This window comes from Homo sapiens, chromosome 5, assembly GCF_000001405.40.
Source record: "Homo sapiens chromosome 5, GRCh38.p14 Primary Assembly".
Lineage (NCBI taxonomy): Eukaryota > Metazoa > Chordata > Mammalia > Primates > Hominidae > Homo > Homo sapiens.
In genome coordinates, this window is record NC_000005.10 from 170550294 (window position 1) to 170566571 (window position 16278).

Genomic DNA, 16278 nt, shown 5'->3' on the forward strand with positions numbered 1-16278 from the left:
AAAGACTGTTAGATAAGAAACTGGGTGGTTTTTAAGGCTTGCAGAATCTCTTATTGATCTGAGAATTCCTCCCAAAACAATCCCTCTAAAAGTGCCTGATTCATAATCCAGTGAATGTTAACAGGAATGACGATGATGATTATGATGGTGATGATGATGGCAATGATGATGATGGTGATGATGATGGTGATGACAATGATGGTGATGATGATGGTGATGATGATGGCAATGATGATGATGGTGATAATGATGATGGTGATGACAATGATGGTGATGATGATGGTGATGATGATGGCAATGATGATGATGATGGTGATGACAATGATGGTGATGATGATGGTGATGACAATGATGGTAACAGTGATGATGACAATGACAATACTGGTGATGATGATGGTGATGACAATGATGGTAACAGTGATGATGATAATGACAGTACTGATGATGATGATGATGGTGATGATGATGACAATAATGGTGATGACAAGGTTGATGATAATGGTGGTGATGGTGATATTGGTGATGGCAATGATGATAGAGTTTAATCTGCAACTCCTTCCCTTCACTCAATGCTATGGCCAATTGGCCACCAAGAACTGTGAGTCTACTTCATAAGTAACTAACTCTTAAGCTCATCCTTTAATTTCTTTGGAACAGGGCTTAACCTTTCTCAACAGCCCCCTCATCTCATTTACCTTCTTTCAGTGTGTGTTCTTCCAATCTGTCTCCACACTGTGCCAATGTAAGCTTCCTAAAGTTTAAGTCTGGGTACAGGCGCACTCACTCACTCCGTGCACTTTTACACTTTTATGCCTTTTTTGTGTTCTTCTCTACTTGTGTTTTCTCCTTCTTGTCTTTTAGCAAGACATGTACTCATCCTTCAGGGTCCAGCTCAATGGTGAGAGCCTCTCTGGGGCTTTGGCTGATCTCACCCTGGAATGCACTGCAATGTTCCTTTGCCTAGGTTCCTGCAATGCTTTCTCCATTTATCTGTATAACCCTCACCACTTCTAAGATTACGTTATTATCTGAGTCTGTGGTGAGGGAACATACCACATCTGACCTACGGTTCATTGCCAGCCCCCTCCCAGAGTGGAACACTGAAGGCACATGGGCAACTGTTGCAAACGTGCAGGGTAAATGCACCCCCATGGAGTGACAGCTATGCAGACCAGAGCCCCCTTCTCCCAGGTTCTGTGTTGCCCACACCTTTCTTGACAGTCCTGGGCCAGGGCTTCCCCAGGTTTGGAATCCAGATGAGTCTGAAAGCAAATGTCATTCTCTTTCCTTCACCACACAGTAGCATTTGTTCTTGCCAAGGTAGCTGTGTGTGTGTGTGTGTGCATGTGTGTGTGTGCTTGAGTGACTGTGAGTGGTTGTGAGAGTGTGGATGAGAGTGTGTATGTGTGGCGTGTGACTGTGTATATGAGTGCATGTGTTTGAGTGTGTATATGCGTGTGTGTGTATGTGTAGGTGTATGAATGTGAGTGTGTGTATGTTCAAGTATGTGTGTGAATGTGAGTATGTGATGTTTGAGTGTACGTGTTAGTGCATGTGTGAGACTGTGTGTTTGAGTGTGTGTGTGTATATGAATGTGTACGAGTGTGTGAGTGTGTGTATGTATGAGTACACGTATGAATGTGAGTGTGCATGTGTGTCTGAGTGTGTGTATGTGTTTGAGTGTGTGAGCGTGTGTTGTGTGCGTATGTGTGTGTGAGTGTGAGAGAGAATGTGTGTGTGTGTGTGTTCATGCCGATGTTCACGATGGGCTGGAGGGAGGACCAGTCCCCTACTGCGTAGATCGAGGATGCTGCCTTTACCCAGTCTTCATGAAGTTATAAAAATTACAGCCATTTGTCACAGGTCTCTCAACACAGCACTGGGCCCTGGGAGGACCAGGCCACATCTCTTGGCGTCTGAAATAAATGAACTCATTTATTCACACATTGAGGCCACACATGTTTGTTGCAAGTCTGTGGCCAGGCACAGGGCTGGGAGCTGGGGAATAAAGAGCTGACCCAAACAGCAGAACCAGTTTGCGTTTTCATGGAATTCATGATCCGCTGCTCTGACAGTGGGCATGGGTCAGACAATGACCAAGTAAACAGATCAGTAAGATCATTTGGAGAAACGAGAAGGGATCCAAAGGAAAGAAAGCAGGAGGCCACGAGGAGGGGAGTGTGGAGGAGTGAGGGGCTGCTTTAAATTCAGAAATCCTTGAAGACTGTCTAAGGAGGTGGCGTTTGTGTTCGGGCTTCCATAACAGGTAGGGGGAAGATGGAAGGCTGCTCCAGACCAGTCAGGGAGAAGGGGAGTGAGGGTGGTTGTGGTTGGACCACAGGAAATGCAGGAAATGAAAGGGAGGGTGGTAGGAAAGGCAAGGGCTAGACCGCACAGGGCCTTTGGGGCCAGCGAAGGAAGTGGATTCTATCCTGAGTGCAACTGGAGGCCACTAGAAGGGCTTACGCAGGACTGACAGGCTCCGATTGATGCTTCCCAAGTTCAGCCGTGCTGCAGGGCAGGAACTGTAGGAGGAGATAGCGTGGCCCAGAAAGGCAGTCAGGAGCTGTCCAGGCCAGCTGACGCTGACGATGAGTGGGGCCCAGAGCTTAGACTCCCTGAGACTCAGCCCTCCTCTCCCGCAGGACCCCAGCAGCCAGCCTTGGAGGGCTCCCAAAGAATGACATCACCCTCAGCTCCCAGCTGCTTGATATGCAGGGAATTCCTCCCAAGGCTATGCAGAGGCCTCAGGCTTCAGCAGCAAGCTGCGGCCCGTGCCTGGGGGAGAGAGGAGGGGAAAATCGTAACCCCAGCAGCACCTCCTCCCGTGACCTAGACTCTGGGCCAGACACCACAGGCATTTTCTGGATAATCCTCACAACTGCCCCATGAGGGACACCTCTGTCGAATCATAAAATCCTGAACAGGGAAGGATGCCTGGAGATCATGTGACCTGTACCCCTGTGTCGAAACCTGTGTATTCCTGGTTCTTGTTTATTTATTCATCATATCCTTAAATAACACCCTTACTACTTTTCAATCACTTGACCAATATTAATTTTCATAGCCACTTCAGAAGGTCAGAACTATCATTATTCCCATTTCATGGATGAGGAAAACTGAGGCCCAGAAAGGCAAAGTAACTTCTCCAAGGTAGCACTGGCCATCATTTACATCTAGGCAGACTGACCCAGAATCCATGTTCTTCTAGGCTGTACATGATACCACCTGCTCTCGGTTGTTCATGAGCTGGCACAGTGGAAAGAGCTCTCCTCAGCGGGCTGGAGCATCTCTTGTACGCCCAGAGGTGTGGGTGAGCTGTTCTGTGGCACAATTGTCATCCTGGGGTCTGCGACGGTAAGACTCACCTCAGAGGAAGGGCTGGCCTTTCATTCCTAGCTGCAATTCCTTACAAGTAAGAAGGAGAGGGCCTCAAACAGGAAACCTGGGGTGAAGAGGTGAACCTCAGATGCCTATCTTGTTTAACCTTCTGTCTCCAGGCTTAGCACAGTGCCTGGTACAGAGGAAGTCCTCAGTAACATTGTTGAGTGAACGGATGGATAGATGTGTGTGGACCCGGGTTCATCCTTCACATGAGAAAGTCCGTGAGATGTTTACATCCAACTCAATATCTAGCACATACAGGTGGACAAGGCAGAAAGGCAATGTCATGGCTCTTGCCCTCACACTCTAGGGCCTAGACTGGTGTGACAATGTCCATGCTTACATGTCCTGTCTAAGGAAAGCAGCTCCCGTTGGTCATGCCTGTGGAAATGTGGCCCTGTATGGCCAGCTCTTCTGATTTTTCATAAGAACCTGGATGGACAGATGCCATGCAAAGTTTTTTTTTTTAATTTTTTAAAAATCGTGTGTATCCCAAAGAAAATATTATCTAAGGGTGAAATCCAGCCCAGGGGGCACTAGTTTGAGATGCCAGGTCTGGGATCAGTAGCAGGTGGCCCAGAATGGGGACTGGGTTGGTGAAGACTAAGAAGAATGAGAAGCTCCCTGGAGCCTCCGAGAGGAAGGTACATTTTGCATGCCAGCTTATCCGGATTCGAGACTTGCTCGATGTTTATTTTCTGGTTGTCACTCCAGGATTTTAGTTAAGTCTTGTCTAACATTGCAGCCAGGCTCAGCCATTCTGTAGGAGGATTAAAGGATGGGACTGTGTATAAAATTGGGCCAGGATGGCAAGCGAGGGAGCAGCTCTTGAGGCCAGAAGAGTGGGGGAAGATGGCTTGATGACAGACGGAATCTCAGGCACCTGAAGAGTCTTAGAAGCCAGATTTGGGGCTGAGCCGCCCTTCCCCAAGTGGAGATTCACCAGCCATGGCCAGACTCGAGGATGTGAGATTTATTTTTCTTAAGATAGCAAATGTCTTTGCAGGCATGCTTCCCAGTTGGGAAATTCTTTTTATGCTCCATGTAATCCGTCTGCCAGAGCCTCCTTTGACTCTGTTTATCGGTTCTCTTCCTGTATGTGTCATGCTCTCCTTCCCTCTCTCCTCTTCTCCCCTTCTCGTCACCACCCCTTTGCTCTGCACCACCCAGAGCCTGTTAGGAAGAAAGGGGGGATACACTCATCCTGGCTCCATTTAGGGTGGGCTTTTAATCCAGACATGTCGCTGACACCAGCATTTGCACCAGGTATTTAATTAGACCAGGAAGTCCCAGGGGATTTGAGAAGCTGGCTGGCGAGGAATGGGCTCTATCTCCATATCTTATTTTGACAAGCACTGTAATTATCCCTCATTGCTGGCAGGCGGAGCAGAATCACGTTCGTTCCCAGCCCCATCTTCTCAGAACAAGAGTACTCAGGCTCCTGGTTGCTCCACCACTAAACAACTGCCTGTCTCAGTTCCCCAGCGAGACCGAGACTGAGCTCAGCCATTACTCAGGAGATCGCAGGCGGGCGCTCAGCCTACTTTTTGACAGCATCGTGGAGGTGATTTCAGAGCGCTTGCTGCATGCACATGGGAAATAGCTTCCAAGGAGGATCTTTGGGGGCAGAAGGAATGAGGTGGGCACCATGCCCTCCAAAAAGACAGAAGTTACCCCTCCAGGAGCCAGCATGAATGGAGCACCTACCATGTGCCCATTTGGTATTGAATTTAATCTTCTCAATAGCACTGCCAGGTCAGTGTTATCATTCCATATTACCAATAGGGAAACTGAGGCTGTAAGTGAGGAAGCTGCAGAGTCAGTTGCAGTGGCCTCAGAATTCCGACCAAGAGCTAGCTGGCCCCACGGTTTCTTCCCTTCCTACTTTACAGCATTGTGGCTCAGGGAGAGCACACATGCCCTCATGCTCTGCCCCAAACAATTTGTGGGTGCTGGAAAGTTCTGGCCATGTCAGGAGCAAGTGCTTTCTCCCTTGCTGTGCTGCCCAAAACTTCTTTAAGGAGGTTACCCTCATCTGTCAAACAGGGATGTCCCTGTCTGTCCCACAGAGTCTTCATGAAATGAACTGAGATGGCATATTTTAAAGCCCTGGGAAAACCGAGGCAGCCTCGGGAATGGTGACGTATCTGGTTATTGAGACTGTCTTATAATTTGGGGCGTGAAAACCTAGGGCTACAGGGACACAAGGTAATGAGAGGAAATTGCCAAGGAAAGCGAATGCAAAGGAAACACCACCCAAGCCCAGCCTGGCTTCCAGGTACCCTCTGAACCAGCCTCCTGCCCCACTGTGGGCCAGAATAGACCAGCCTGCTAGGAAAACCTTTGGCCCACTGCAACAATGACAATCACAACAACTCAACCGTTTAGTGAACACAAAATATGTACGAGGCACGGGATTATGCACAGGAACCACGTCCGTACATTTCATTCTCAAGATCCTATGAAGTAGGTGTTATTATCCCTATTTGATGGATGAGCAAGCTGTGGTTCATTAAACCACATCCCCCATGTCAAACAGCAAACAAGGGGTGAGGCCAGTTGGTCTTGACAGTTTGTCAAAATCGCTGTGCTAGAAAACCACCCTCCTTACTGGTTGTGTTCCAGGGGTTCCCAAACTCAAGTTCTTCTTGGAGGAGCTGCAAGAAATGATTTGAGGGTGATAGCAAGGAAGAATGCATCTGAGATGCCAGGCTCAGGAGATTCCTGGAGTCCTGCACTGTGTGCCCTTTGGCCCAGAAGGCCCTTGTAAGCACCTTTAGGTGTTGTCTGCATTTCCCTTCCCTTTCTGGTCAGGGACCCCAGCTCTCTCTGCATGGATTCTCCTCTCCAGGAGGTGGGGGGTGGGAGCCGATGTCAACAGGGAAGAGGGGCAGAGGAACAAGGACAGGGATGGGGAGAGGAAGAAAGAAGGAGGTGGGATGTGGCAGCTGGGCCCGGAAGCAGGCTAGAGCCAGCTGCACAGCTCTGACAATCTAAAGTGTCTCTTCCGATGGTCTCCATTCAGCCCCATCTGCAGATAGCTCATTTTGTGAATGAGGCCTGGGTGTTTGTTCCAGAACCTTAGCTGTGATTAGGAAAGACAGGAGCACTTGGGAGGCCCCACCTTCAATGCACCAGAGTATTTCTAGACCCTCATTCTGCAGTCAGCTCTAGCTGCCACATCAGGGAATTCTTGCTGGTCTGTAGCCTGGATTCCAATTGTGGATGTGGCCTGTTAAAACTTTCCTGGGTAGGACAGTGTGGGCGTTCTGCCTTAGGAGTCAGACAGGCCTGAGTTTATATCCCACCATTTCCATATGCTGGCTGTGTGACCTTGAACAGGTCCCTTAGCCTCCCTCAGCAGTGGAGTGGAAGATTAAGTGCACAGACTCTGAAGCTAAGCCTTCTCCCATGCTCCAGTCCCAGCTCTGCCACTTACTAACTGTGTGGCCTTGGCAAAGTGACCCAACACCCCTGGGCCTCTCTTCTCAGCTGCAATACAGGGCTAATACAGGCATGCATCTTATGGAGTTGTCAAAAGGATGAAACAAATTCATGCATTTAAAGGACTTGGCACATGGTGAGTGCTCAGACATGTTAGCCAGTATCCAGGCATGGTGGCTATTTTCTGGAATAAATATGGATAAACTGAGACAACTTTCTCTCCTGAAGATGGGTCCATTGCGAAGTCATCTCAAAGAGGTGTGGCCTGGAGAAGTGGTTCCAGTACCTCATGCCTTCTTCCCCTTCCCTCCTTCTCTCCTGCCTCCCCCTGCATTCTTCATGTGCCTCCTGCTGTAAGCATTTGCTGAGCCTCCTGCTGTGTCCCAAGCTCTGTGCTTGGGGTCAACCACCCAGAAATGAATCGTGTGGGTCCCATCCTCTCCAAGACAAACAGTTAGAGGATGGTCAGATAGTGCCAGTGGAGAGCAGGGAAGGCCTCGTGGACAACATCCTATTTGAGCCACATGACCATCAGGGAAGAGCATTTCTAGGCAGAGGAAGCAGTTTGTACAAAGGCCCTGAGGAGAGAACAAGCTTGAGAAATAGGAAGAGTGCCCGAGTGTCTGGAGTGGAGGGACAGGGAGAAGATGGGTAGGAATGAGGTTGAGAAGTAGCTAGAGGTCAAATCATAGAGAGCTTTGAAGCCACAGTGAGAAATGTGGGCTTACTTTGAGTTTTCTAGCATAAGGTTGTTCTGAAGATTAAATGACAGGAGACAGGTAGAGTGCTTGGAACAGCATCTGGCGCATTGCTGGGCCTTAAATAATTGTTACTTTTATTATGGTGGCACTTATTTCCATATTCAGCCCTGAGGCTGGCTGTGGTCTACTAGGAAATTATTGGCATTCTGGTTTAGGAGAGAGGACTTGACGGGATTTGGGTGACAAGTCTCAGTTCTGCCCTTCCCTGGCCTAGCCAAGCTCCCTTCCTTCCCTGAGTTTCTATAAAATGGCAGCATCACATTCCCCTCCCCAGGTAATGTGACAATGAACTTTAATGTAAAGTGCCACCCACGATCAAGGAATCTCATCATTTAAACTGCTTTTGCCATCTAAGGTCAGAAGGCTTAAACTGAGCCCGTAATTACATCAAGTGCCTGTAATCCTAGCTACATAGAAGGCCGAGGTGAGTGGATGGCTTGAGCCCAAAAGTTCAAGACCAGCCTGAGCAACATAGTGAGACCCAGTCTCCAAAAGTAAATAATTTAAGAGAATAAAAAATTAATTTTTTAAAGAAGGTTTAAACTGGTTGTGACCTAAGGAAACAATTTCTTCCAGCCGCATCATTGAACAGGTGGGACACCAAGCTCCCTTGTAGATAAAGATCGAGGTGGAATGGGAGTGGACACTGACTCCATCTAAGATCATGGAAGCGCTCTCACAGTGACCCTACTGGGCTCTCTGGAAGCTGCATCCCAGCAGCTGTGCAGCCCCTGGGACCAGCCAGGAGTGACCTGGGTGCTGCCGTTCAACCCACCTGTACATTTCCCAAAAAGAGGCAGCCAAGTGCTGATTCAGGGAATTTAAACTTTAATGGTCCCCCGGTCTATTATTATGTTTTAATGAACTGGAAAAGCACAAACAGAAATCCTTAAGAGCATCAGCCGTGACACAGAAATCTAATACAATAAAACAAAGTGCTTATAAACCCCAGAGTTGTTTAAAACCCAGAAATTGCCAATTGACATATGGGACTATATCTTCTTAGCCCCTAGTAAACTGAGTGGCTTCAAACAAGTCCCTATCACCTCCCAGGGCCTCAGTTTCTTCACCTGTGAAATAAGAGGATCAAAAAAAGATAATGTTCTCTCTGTTCTCTTCCAACCGAGGCAGGCATCTCAAGTATTTCTTAGTCAGTTCTACTCTAGGCTACACAGTATCTGTATCTGGCAGCTGTATGAACTACTGTTGAAAATCCTCTTCCCAATCCCAGTTTCAACATCACTCCTCAAGGCAGCATCCACCTTCACTCTAGACTGAATTAATTCCTCTGTCTTACCACCTAAACTCCTCTAGAAAACTTGATAGAGGTAAAGATAAATGCATTTTTTCAAAAATTCTACTTTTCTAGTCCCAAGGCATTGTGTATATCATTCTTATGTAAGTTATCACAATAAACCCATAATTAGTTACTTCCATTTATGTCAAATCGCCTACAAAGCAGAAACATGTATTATTCATTTTTGGCTTCCTCCCCAGTATCTAGCATACGAACTGTTTGCAAACATGCCCAGTTCTTCAAACTTTGTAACTTCATGCCTTTTCTATCTACTACTTGGGATGGGCCCACCCTCCCTTTGTCCTCTAAGCACACTCCTATTCATCCTTCAAAGTCCAGCACAAAAATCCCCTCCTCTGTTAAACTTCAACTGCTCCAGGCTGAGTCTTATGTTTGGGTCCTTCATACGTACCCCTCTTCTATTGTTTGGGGTATTGTGTGCTGTGGGATCTGTTTACTCTCAGTTCTCCCCTCTAGGCTGGGTTCCTTGAAAAACACCCTCTGGACATTTCACCTCTACATCCTCTGCATTCTTGGCCAGGCTCTGAGAGGGCATTGGTAAATGTTAACTGCCTGGCAATGGTGATGCTGTTAACCTGATGTGTCAGGGGTCTGAATAAAGCTGCCTCAAGGTAGGCAGATGCCCACAACCAAGCAAGAACTCAAAGCTGCAGGCTCCTCAGCCTGAACCTTAGACAGCGTCTTGGTCACCATTTCAACACCTTGACCACATTTCTCACTCTCCCAAATTTCCTCCTGCTTATTCCTCATCCACATACATAAGGCTGTGTCTCCCAGGGGAAATTCAACTACTTGGTAATTATCCTGCTTCTTAAGTTTGGGGCTAGGGGATTCATAGATGATGTTCAGTATTATGCTGTGCAATGTAGATGCTTCCTAAACCTTCTCAGGAGCTACCACTGAGTGGCACCTGGGGACCTCTCAGGAAGAGCCAGTTTTCTGGGCAGTGTGGGGCAGGACAGAGCTCATTAAACCAGCCTACCACCTGTCTTCCAGCTCCTCCTCTCAGCCTCTGGGCTTCCAGCAGAAAGCACACGAGAGCATTCTTGTTGGTTTTCTTATGACTTGAGCCAGCGAGACGTACATGCCCAGCACCTGTTACCTGGGCTGGCTCTTGGCTGAGAGCATACATGCATTGGGTCAGGTTTCAGATCTGCTGGAGGAACACAGCCAGAATGTCTTGACAGGCAGCCCTGGCAAAGCCCCAGAAAATATAAGATCTGAGTCTTATGATGGACTCTGTGACCTTGAGCCTCTCACCTCGTGACCTTGGGCATCTCATGTTCTCTCCACAGGTCTCGGTTCTGGACTCCTTCATGGGAGCTGTCATGCCCCTGTCACACAGCAGTGTTGTGCCCCCGGGGATCAGGGACCAGGATGGTCCTTTCTTGGTGGTGAAGGGGGCATTTTGCATATTCCAGAGATTCAAGTTTCCAGACCTATCTAGAAAGAAACATTTGAGTTTACAGGTTGGCGCTTCTCAGCCTCTGTCTCTCTTCCTCTCTGTTCATCTCCCTCTGTCCCCTCTATGTATGTTTGTGTCTCTTTCTGTCTCCTCTGCCTTTCTTTGTCATGTCTTTCTGCTTCTGTCCTATACTGTCTCTCACCTCCACCCTGGTTCCCCCCGCCCCAGATGCTCTTCTCTCTGTGGGGTTTTTTCTTCCCCTCCATTTCCTTCTCCTCTCCCACTCCTTCCTCCCCAGATTCTCCCTCACTACAGGCTTCTCTCTAATCTCTCTCTAACTGCCTATTCTTCTCACAAGAAGGAGTCCCCTCTGGGGCCCAGAGGCCAGGCAAGGCATTGTGGACAAGGAGGGCATCCGTGCCATCCAACGGGCAGGAGCCCAGCCTCCTGGCTGGTGCGTGGCTGTGCTGTGGGTTTGTTTCCACTTACCAAAGGGCATCTGTAATTAATGTGGGCAGTGATAAAGGAGCTGGAGATGTGTTTATGCTCCTTCGAGGGCTGAGATGAAACACCCATAACATTTAATGTGGCGCACTGACATTTAAATGTCAATTAGAAAGTCCCCGCTCTGCTTGGCTGGCCCCTGCATCCTCAGATGAGACCGCCCTCCTCCCTGCCTTGCCAGCCCTGCTGGGACCACCAGCTCACAAAAGACAGTGGCCACACAGCAACCGTGACTGAAGAGTGTGCAGGGTCCAAAGAGGCTAAAGTGGCTTTAAGAGCACTCCGGAGGGGGAGGACTCTTGGAACAGAGAAAGGAGGAGGATGGTGCCAGGCCACCACCAAAGGCACGTGGAAGGGGGCTGGGCAAATGGTGAAGGAGCATGTGGGAGACAAGTTTAGAGGTAGCGTTGGCTTCCTCCTCTCTTCCCTCAGTACCTACAGGGCAGAATCTAGAGCTTGTTTGTGCCTTGGCCCTTAGGCGCTATGTTTCTGCCTCTGTGGTTGATCACCCTCCATTAGACCAAGGGCTTCTTGAGACCAGGTTCCCATCTCTTCATCACACAGGACGCCTATGCACACACGGTGCCTGGCACACAGTAGGTACACAAGGTAGTCTATTCAGTTCAATACAGTATATATTCGTTGAGTTCCCACTGCGTGGTGGGCATTATCCTAGGAACTGAGGCTACAACAATGATTGGGACTGAGACCTGCCCCCACAGAGTGTACAGATGCTCTTCAAATTACCATGGGGCTACCTCCTGAGAAACCCATTGTAAATCAAAAATACAGAAATCAAAAACGCATTTAGTACCCCCAGTTAATCCATCATAAAGTCAATAAATTGTAAATTGAACCATTCTAAGTCCAGATGCTCCTTAACATACAATGAGGTTATGTCTCAATAAACCCATCATAAAGTCAAAAAATCTGAAGTCAGACCGTCGTAAGTCAGGGATCATCTGCGTTACATTTTTAAAGACAGACAGAAAAATAGATATGTGGCAAATGTTTAGATGGAAGCAAAGAAAAGAGGCAGCCGGCCCACCCTGGATGACAAGAAAGCTTCTTGGAGGAAGTCAAATAGAGCTGAGACCCAAAGAATAAATGTGCATTTGCAAGACAGAGAGGCAGAGGGAATACTGGACAGAGGGCCCAGCACAAGTGTGGAGCCAGGAGGGAGCCTAGGAGTGCACAGGGGTTGGTGGCAATGGGCACAGCAGCTTCCTTGTGAAATCTGAGCTCAGAGACCACATGACTGCATGGGGTTCTGCAACCAGCACGTGAGCTCTGTGAGGGCAAGGGCCTCATCTGTCTTGTCCACTGCTGTGTTCCCAGAGTTGGGGAAAGTGCTTGATGTGTAGCAGGCACTCGACAAACATTTATTGGATGAGTAAATGAATGCTGTCTTCACTGGCCTCTCCTCCCTTGTCCAGTTCCCAAAGCTCAGTGGGTCCCCGCAAATGCATTTATTTTGCAAAAGCCTTTCCCAAAGCCTGGCATCCAATGGGTGCCTCATTTCCTCATCCCCTGCACGCCGTCTCTCAGTCCCTGAGCTGCTGTGCCCACGACATGCTCCATTTTCTCATAAAAGCCCTTCCAACAAGGGGCACATTTGCATTTCAAGTTTCCTGGAATTGGAGTACAGAGAAATCTGACTTCCAGAGCCCAGGGCTCTAAGCTGCAGCTGGAGAACTGAAACACAGCAAGCAGGACACCTGCCCAGAATAAGGTTCAGGCCCTGGAATATCACATGGGACCCATGCTCCTGTAGCTGTCTGCAGTCTCGAGCCCCAAGGCAGTAGAACAGGTGTTCATCTTCTCCTGCACTCTGGAAATGGAGTCCAGGGCCTGAGCTACTGAGTTTGTAGACTGCAACTTTGGTAGCAAGAGGCATTTCTCCTCCTCACCTCCACCCACACACAGATCTAGTTCCCCTCGTACGCTGCCCTTTCAGTCTTGGACACTGCAGAAGACCTGCTAGGAGAGCCTAAGAAACCCAAAGCCTTCCCACCTGCCATCCACCAACTATCATTTACTCACCCCCACTCCTCCAGAGTGCAGATGACTATTTCACTTACTGATTTGGCAGGCGCTGCTGCTCCTCACCTTGGTTGGAGTAGAGTTTACCCTGCCCAGCCCTGCAGGCCCAGTGGTAAAGGGAAGGAGGCTAGTGATTATTCCGACTTTGGATCAATCAGTTGCTCAGTTTATTGGAATTACATCCCAGTGGCTGCTATTGATGGAACTGCTGGACTCGGGCCCACAATCCTCATGCCAGTTTTATAACACTGACATCACCTGCTCACACACAGGGCTTCCTCTCCCATCCTGTCCCCATACCTCACTCTGTAGCCTGAGATTTCTAAGGTGGGGGATCTGCACTGGGTGTTTGGCATAAATGATGTAAGAGATTTCCTTTGTATTGCTCTCAGCTACATCTTACCTTTGTGTAAGAATGCAAAGTCATAAGCACAGTTTACAATTGCAATGGGAGGTATGTGCTAGTTTTAAGGTGTTTTGTTTTTTTTTTTGTTTGTTTGTTTGTTTGAGACAGTTTCACTCTTGTTGCCCAGGCTGGAGTGCAATGGCACAATCTTGGCTCACTACAACCTCTGCCTCCCAGGTTCAAACGATTCTCCTGCCTCAGCCTCCCAAGTAGCTTGGATTACAGGCATGTGCCCCCACACCTGGCTAATTTTGTATTTTTAGTAGAGACAGGGTTTCTCCATGTTGGTCAGGCTGGTTTCCAACTCCTGACCTTGTGATCAGCCCGCCTGAGCCTCCCAAAGTGCTGGGATTACAAGCGTGAGCCACTGCATCAGGCGTTTTAAGTTTCTACCATTTGGGGCATATTCAGGAAGATTCCTATCCCAACACACCCCTTCCTTCTGCTTTTATAAACACACAGAGTCCCCAACCACCCTACGTCCTCTTTCCTCCATAACCACGTCACAGTGCACTGTAAACACATTACGAACCAGCTATGCAATAACAATCTGCTGAATCTCAGAGATGCAGAAAGAAATCACTGGGCCTTCTATTGATACATTCTTATGTTATCATTTTTAATTTCTATAATTATGTTTTTAAGGTACATTGTGTATCAGCACAGCAGCAGATGCTAATAATATATTAAAAACTGTACTCGTGTTCTGGGAGTGTTCACAAATTATAGCTTCACACTATTCTCATCTTCTCCCGCCTCTGCTCAGATGTCCTTGAAACATCTCTAAGGATCCTGGAAGGCAAACTGACTACAACACTTATTTGCACAGCACAGCATCTTTCCTATGACACGTCTTTTGGTTTTTCCAATCATCAAAAGCAAGAGGTAGCAGGAGACCGAGCTGTTAGGCACTGACCGTGGCATTGCCTCCAGGGTGAATTGCGGGGGCACAGGAAAAACAGCTCAGATTCCTAGCTTTTCCCCACCTTCCTGATCTACTGAACCACACTTTCTCCAGGGATGTGGCCCGTGATCTATATTTTAAGAAAACACCTCAAATAACTTCCCAGCCAGGTGTGTGCACCACAGTGCTGGGACGTGGTATTGTTCTTGCCATGGGAGGTGGGAGATTCTTGTCCATCCTTCACCCAGAAGCCTGCATGTGGTTTGTCAATTTTTTTTTATTTTATGAAACTTTTTTTCTGTTTACACTCTTGCAGAACAAACAGACAAATTATATAGCTGATGTCACATCCCTTTGAAAAATCTATCAGGTTTCATCCATTCATTCAACAATTGTTTTTACCAGTTACACTTTTTTTTTCATTTGCCATATACAGAAACTGAGGCTCAGTGAGACTGAGAGATTTGTTTCTGACTTAGCTTGTAAGAAAGAGATTCAGGAACTCAACCTAGGTTACCTGGCCCCAAGTCCTGTGCCCTTTTAATTTTACTTCCGTACATTTTAATGAAATGGCTGCGAGACCAGAGCTCTGTGTGTGAACAAGTTGTGCCTTTCAACCTTCCTTTATCTCCCCTTCTCTTTCCCCACCACCAAGAGCAGGCTGATGAGAAAATTAACATTCAGGACACGTTCTGCTCCCTTCTGATTCCCACAGAGAGAACACAGCCTCTGCCTGCCAATTAGTGACGTTCAGATCTCTATTAGAGATGGGGACAGCTAGTTCCAGTTATGCAAATGCCCTTGTCTGAGAGTAGCCATGGGCCAGCAGCATGCCAGTCTCACCTCTCCCCATGGAGTCACCATGGATGTGACTTGCACCTCCCGTGTTGCTTTAACCAATAATCAAATCAGTATCTATTTATATAAGCACTGGCCAAGGTACTGCAGGAAGCTCAGGGACAGATTTTATTTCAGCCTAAAGGAACTTACACTGAGTAGAGAGTGTGGCCAGGGAAAGGGCAGATCTTTCAAAGACACTCTGTTCTTCTCTAAACACTCACAGTTTCTATTTATTACCCAAAAAAATACATAAGGAAAAATACCTAACATTTGTTAAGTACCTACTATGTGCCAGGCACTGTTAGACACTTTATACACATTATCTCATTCAAGTCCATTAATTTTATATAAGAAGCAATATGCTATTTGGTTCAAGGCATGTGTTTTAAGTAGGAAAAACTAGGATTTTTAAAACTAGGATTTTAATCCTGCCACTTTCTCCATGTGGGACTTCTTGACCTCAGTTATTCATCTGCGAAATGGAAGGAAACAATGTCTGTTTGCCAGGAATATTTTCAGAAGCAATTAGATAAGGTATTTAAATCCAAGCACCTCATCTTCATATGACACAGCATAGTGTTAAGATGCCTAATATGTAGGGAAATGACAAAAATGGACAAATGCAGGATATTATTAGCAACAATGCAAAAATATCTGTATATGGATGAAGAGTGGAAGAGGACAATTATGGGGGAAACTTGTTGTCTTTTAATTTCTGAACTATCTGTATTATTATTATTATTTTAGATGGAGTCTCACTCTGTCTCCTAGGCTGGAGTGCAATGGTTCAATCTCAGCTCACTGCAACCTCTGCCTCCCGGGTTCAAGCGATTCTCCCGCCTCAGCCTCCCGGGTTCAAGCGATTCTCCCGCCTCAGCCTCCCGAGTAGCTGGGATTACAGGCACCTGCCATCATGCATGACTAATTTTTGGTTTTTTGTCTGTTTGGTTGTTTGTTTGTGTGTTTGTTTTGTAGAGACAGGGTTTCATTGTGTTGGCTAGGCTGGTCTTGAGCTCCTGATCTCAGGTGATCCACCCGCCTCAGCCTCCCAAAGTGCTGGGATTACAGGCGTTAGCCACCGCGCCCGGCCAACTATCCGTATTATTATGTATTTTCATTTAAGCTTTTAAAGGAAAATGGAAACACTGCATTAAACTGAGCCTCAGAGAAATTCAGTGACTTGTCCAAGGTCATACAAGGACTGGAGGGACCAAGGCAGGATCTATCCATTTTCAATGCCCATGCTTTCCCCCACACACCATGCCACCA

The 16278-nt window shown here is 47.5% G+C and overlaps 1 protein-coding gene across 6 annotated transcripts in view, besides 2 other annotated features; it reads left to right on the forward strand.

Annotated features, from left to right (window-relative positions):
• Window positions 1–16278, forward strand: part of KCNIP1 (potassium voltage-gated channel interacting protein 1) — a 383146-nt gene that overhangs the window by 196807 nt on the left and 170061 nt on the right. The gene's annotated exons all lie outside the window — the stretch shown is intronic.
• Window positions 2012–2581: an enhancer, noted in NCBI's record as "H3K27ac-H3K4me1 hESC enhancer chr5:169979309-169979878 (GRCh37/hg19 assembly coordinates)". NCBI's record gives its function as "activates a minimal SCP1, AML or CMV promoter by ChIP-STARR-seq in primed H9 embryonic stem cells {active_cell/tissue: H9 hESC(primed)}" and the evidence as "EXISTENCE:reporter gene assay evidence [ECO:0000049][PMID:30033119]".
• Window positions 3358–3558: a silencer, noted in NCBI's record as "peak5573 fragment used in MPRA reporter construct". NCBI's record gives its function as "represses an SCP1 promoter by STARR-seq MPRAs in K562 erythroleukemia cells {active_cell/tissue: K562}" and the evidence as "EXISTENCE:reporter gene assay evidence [ECO:0000049][PMID:32103011]".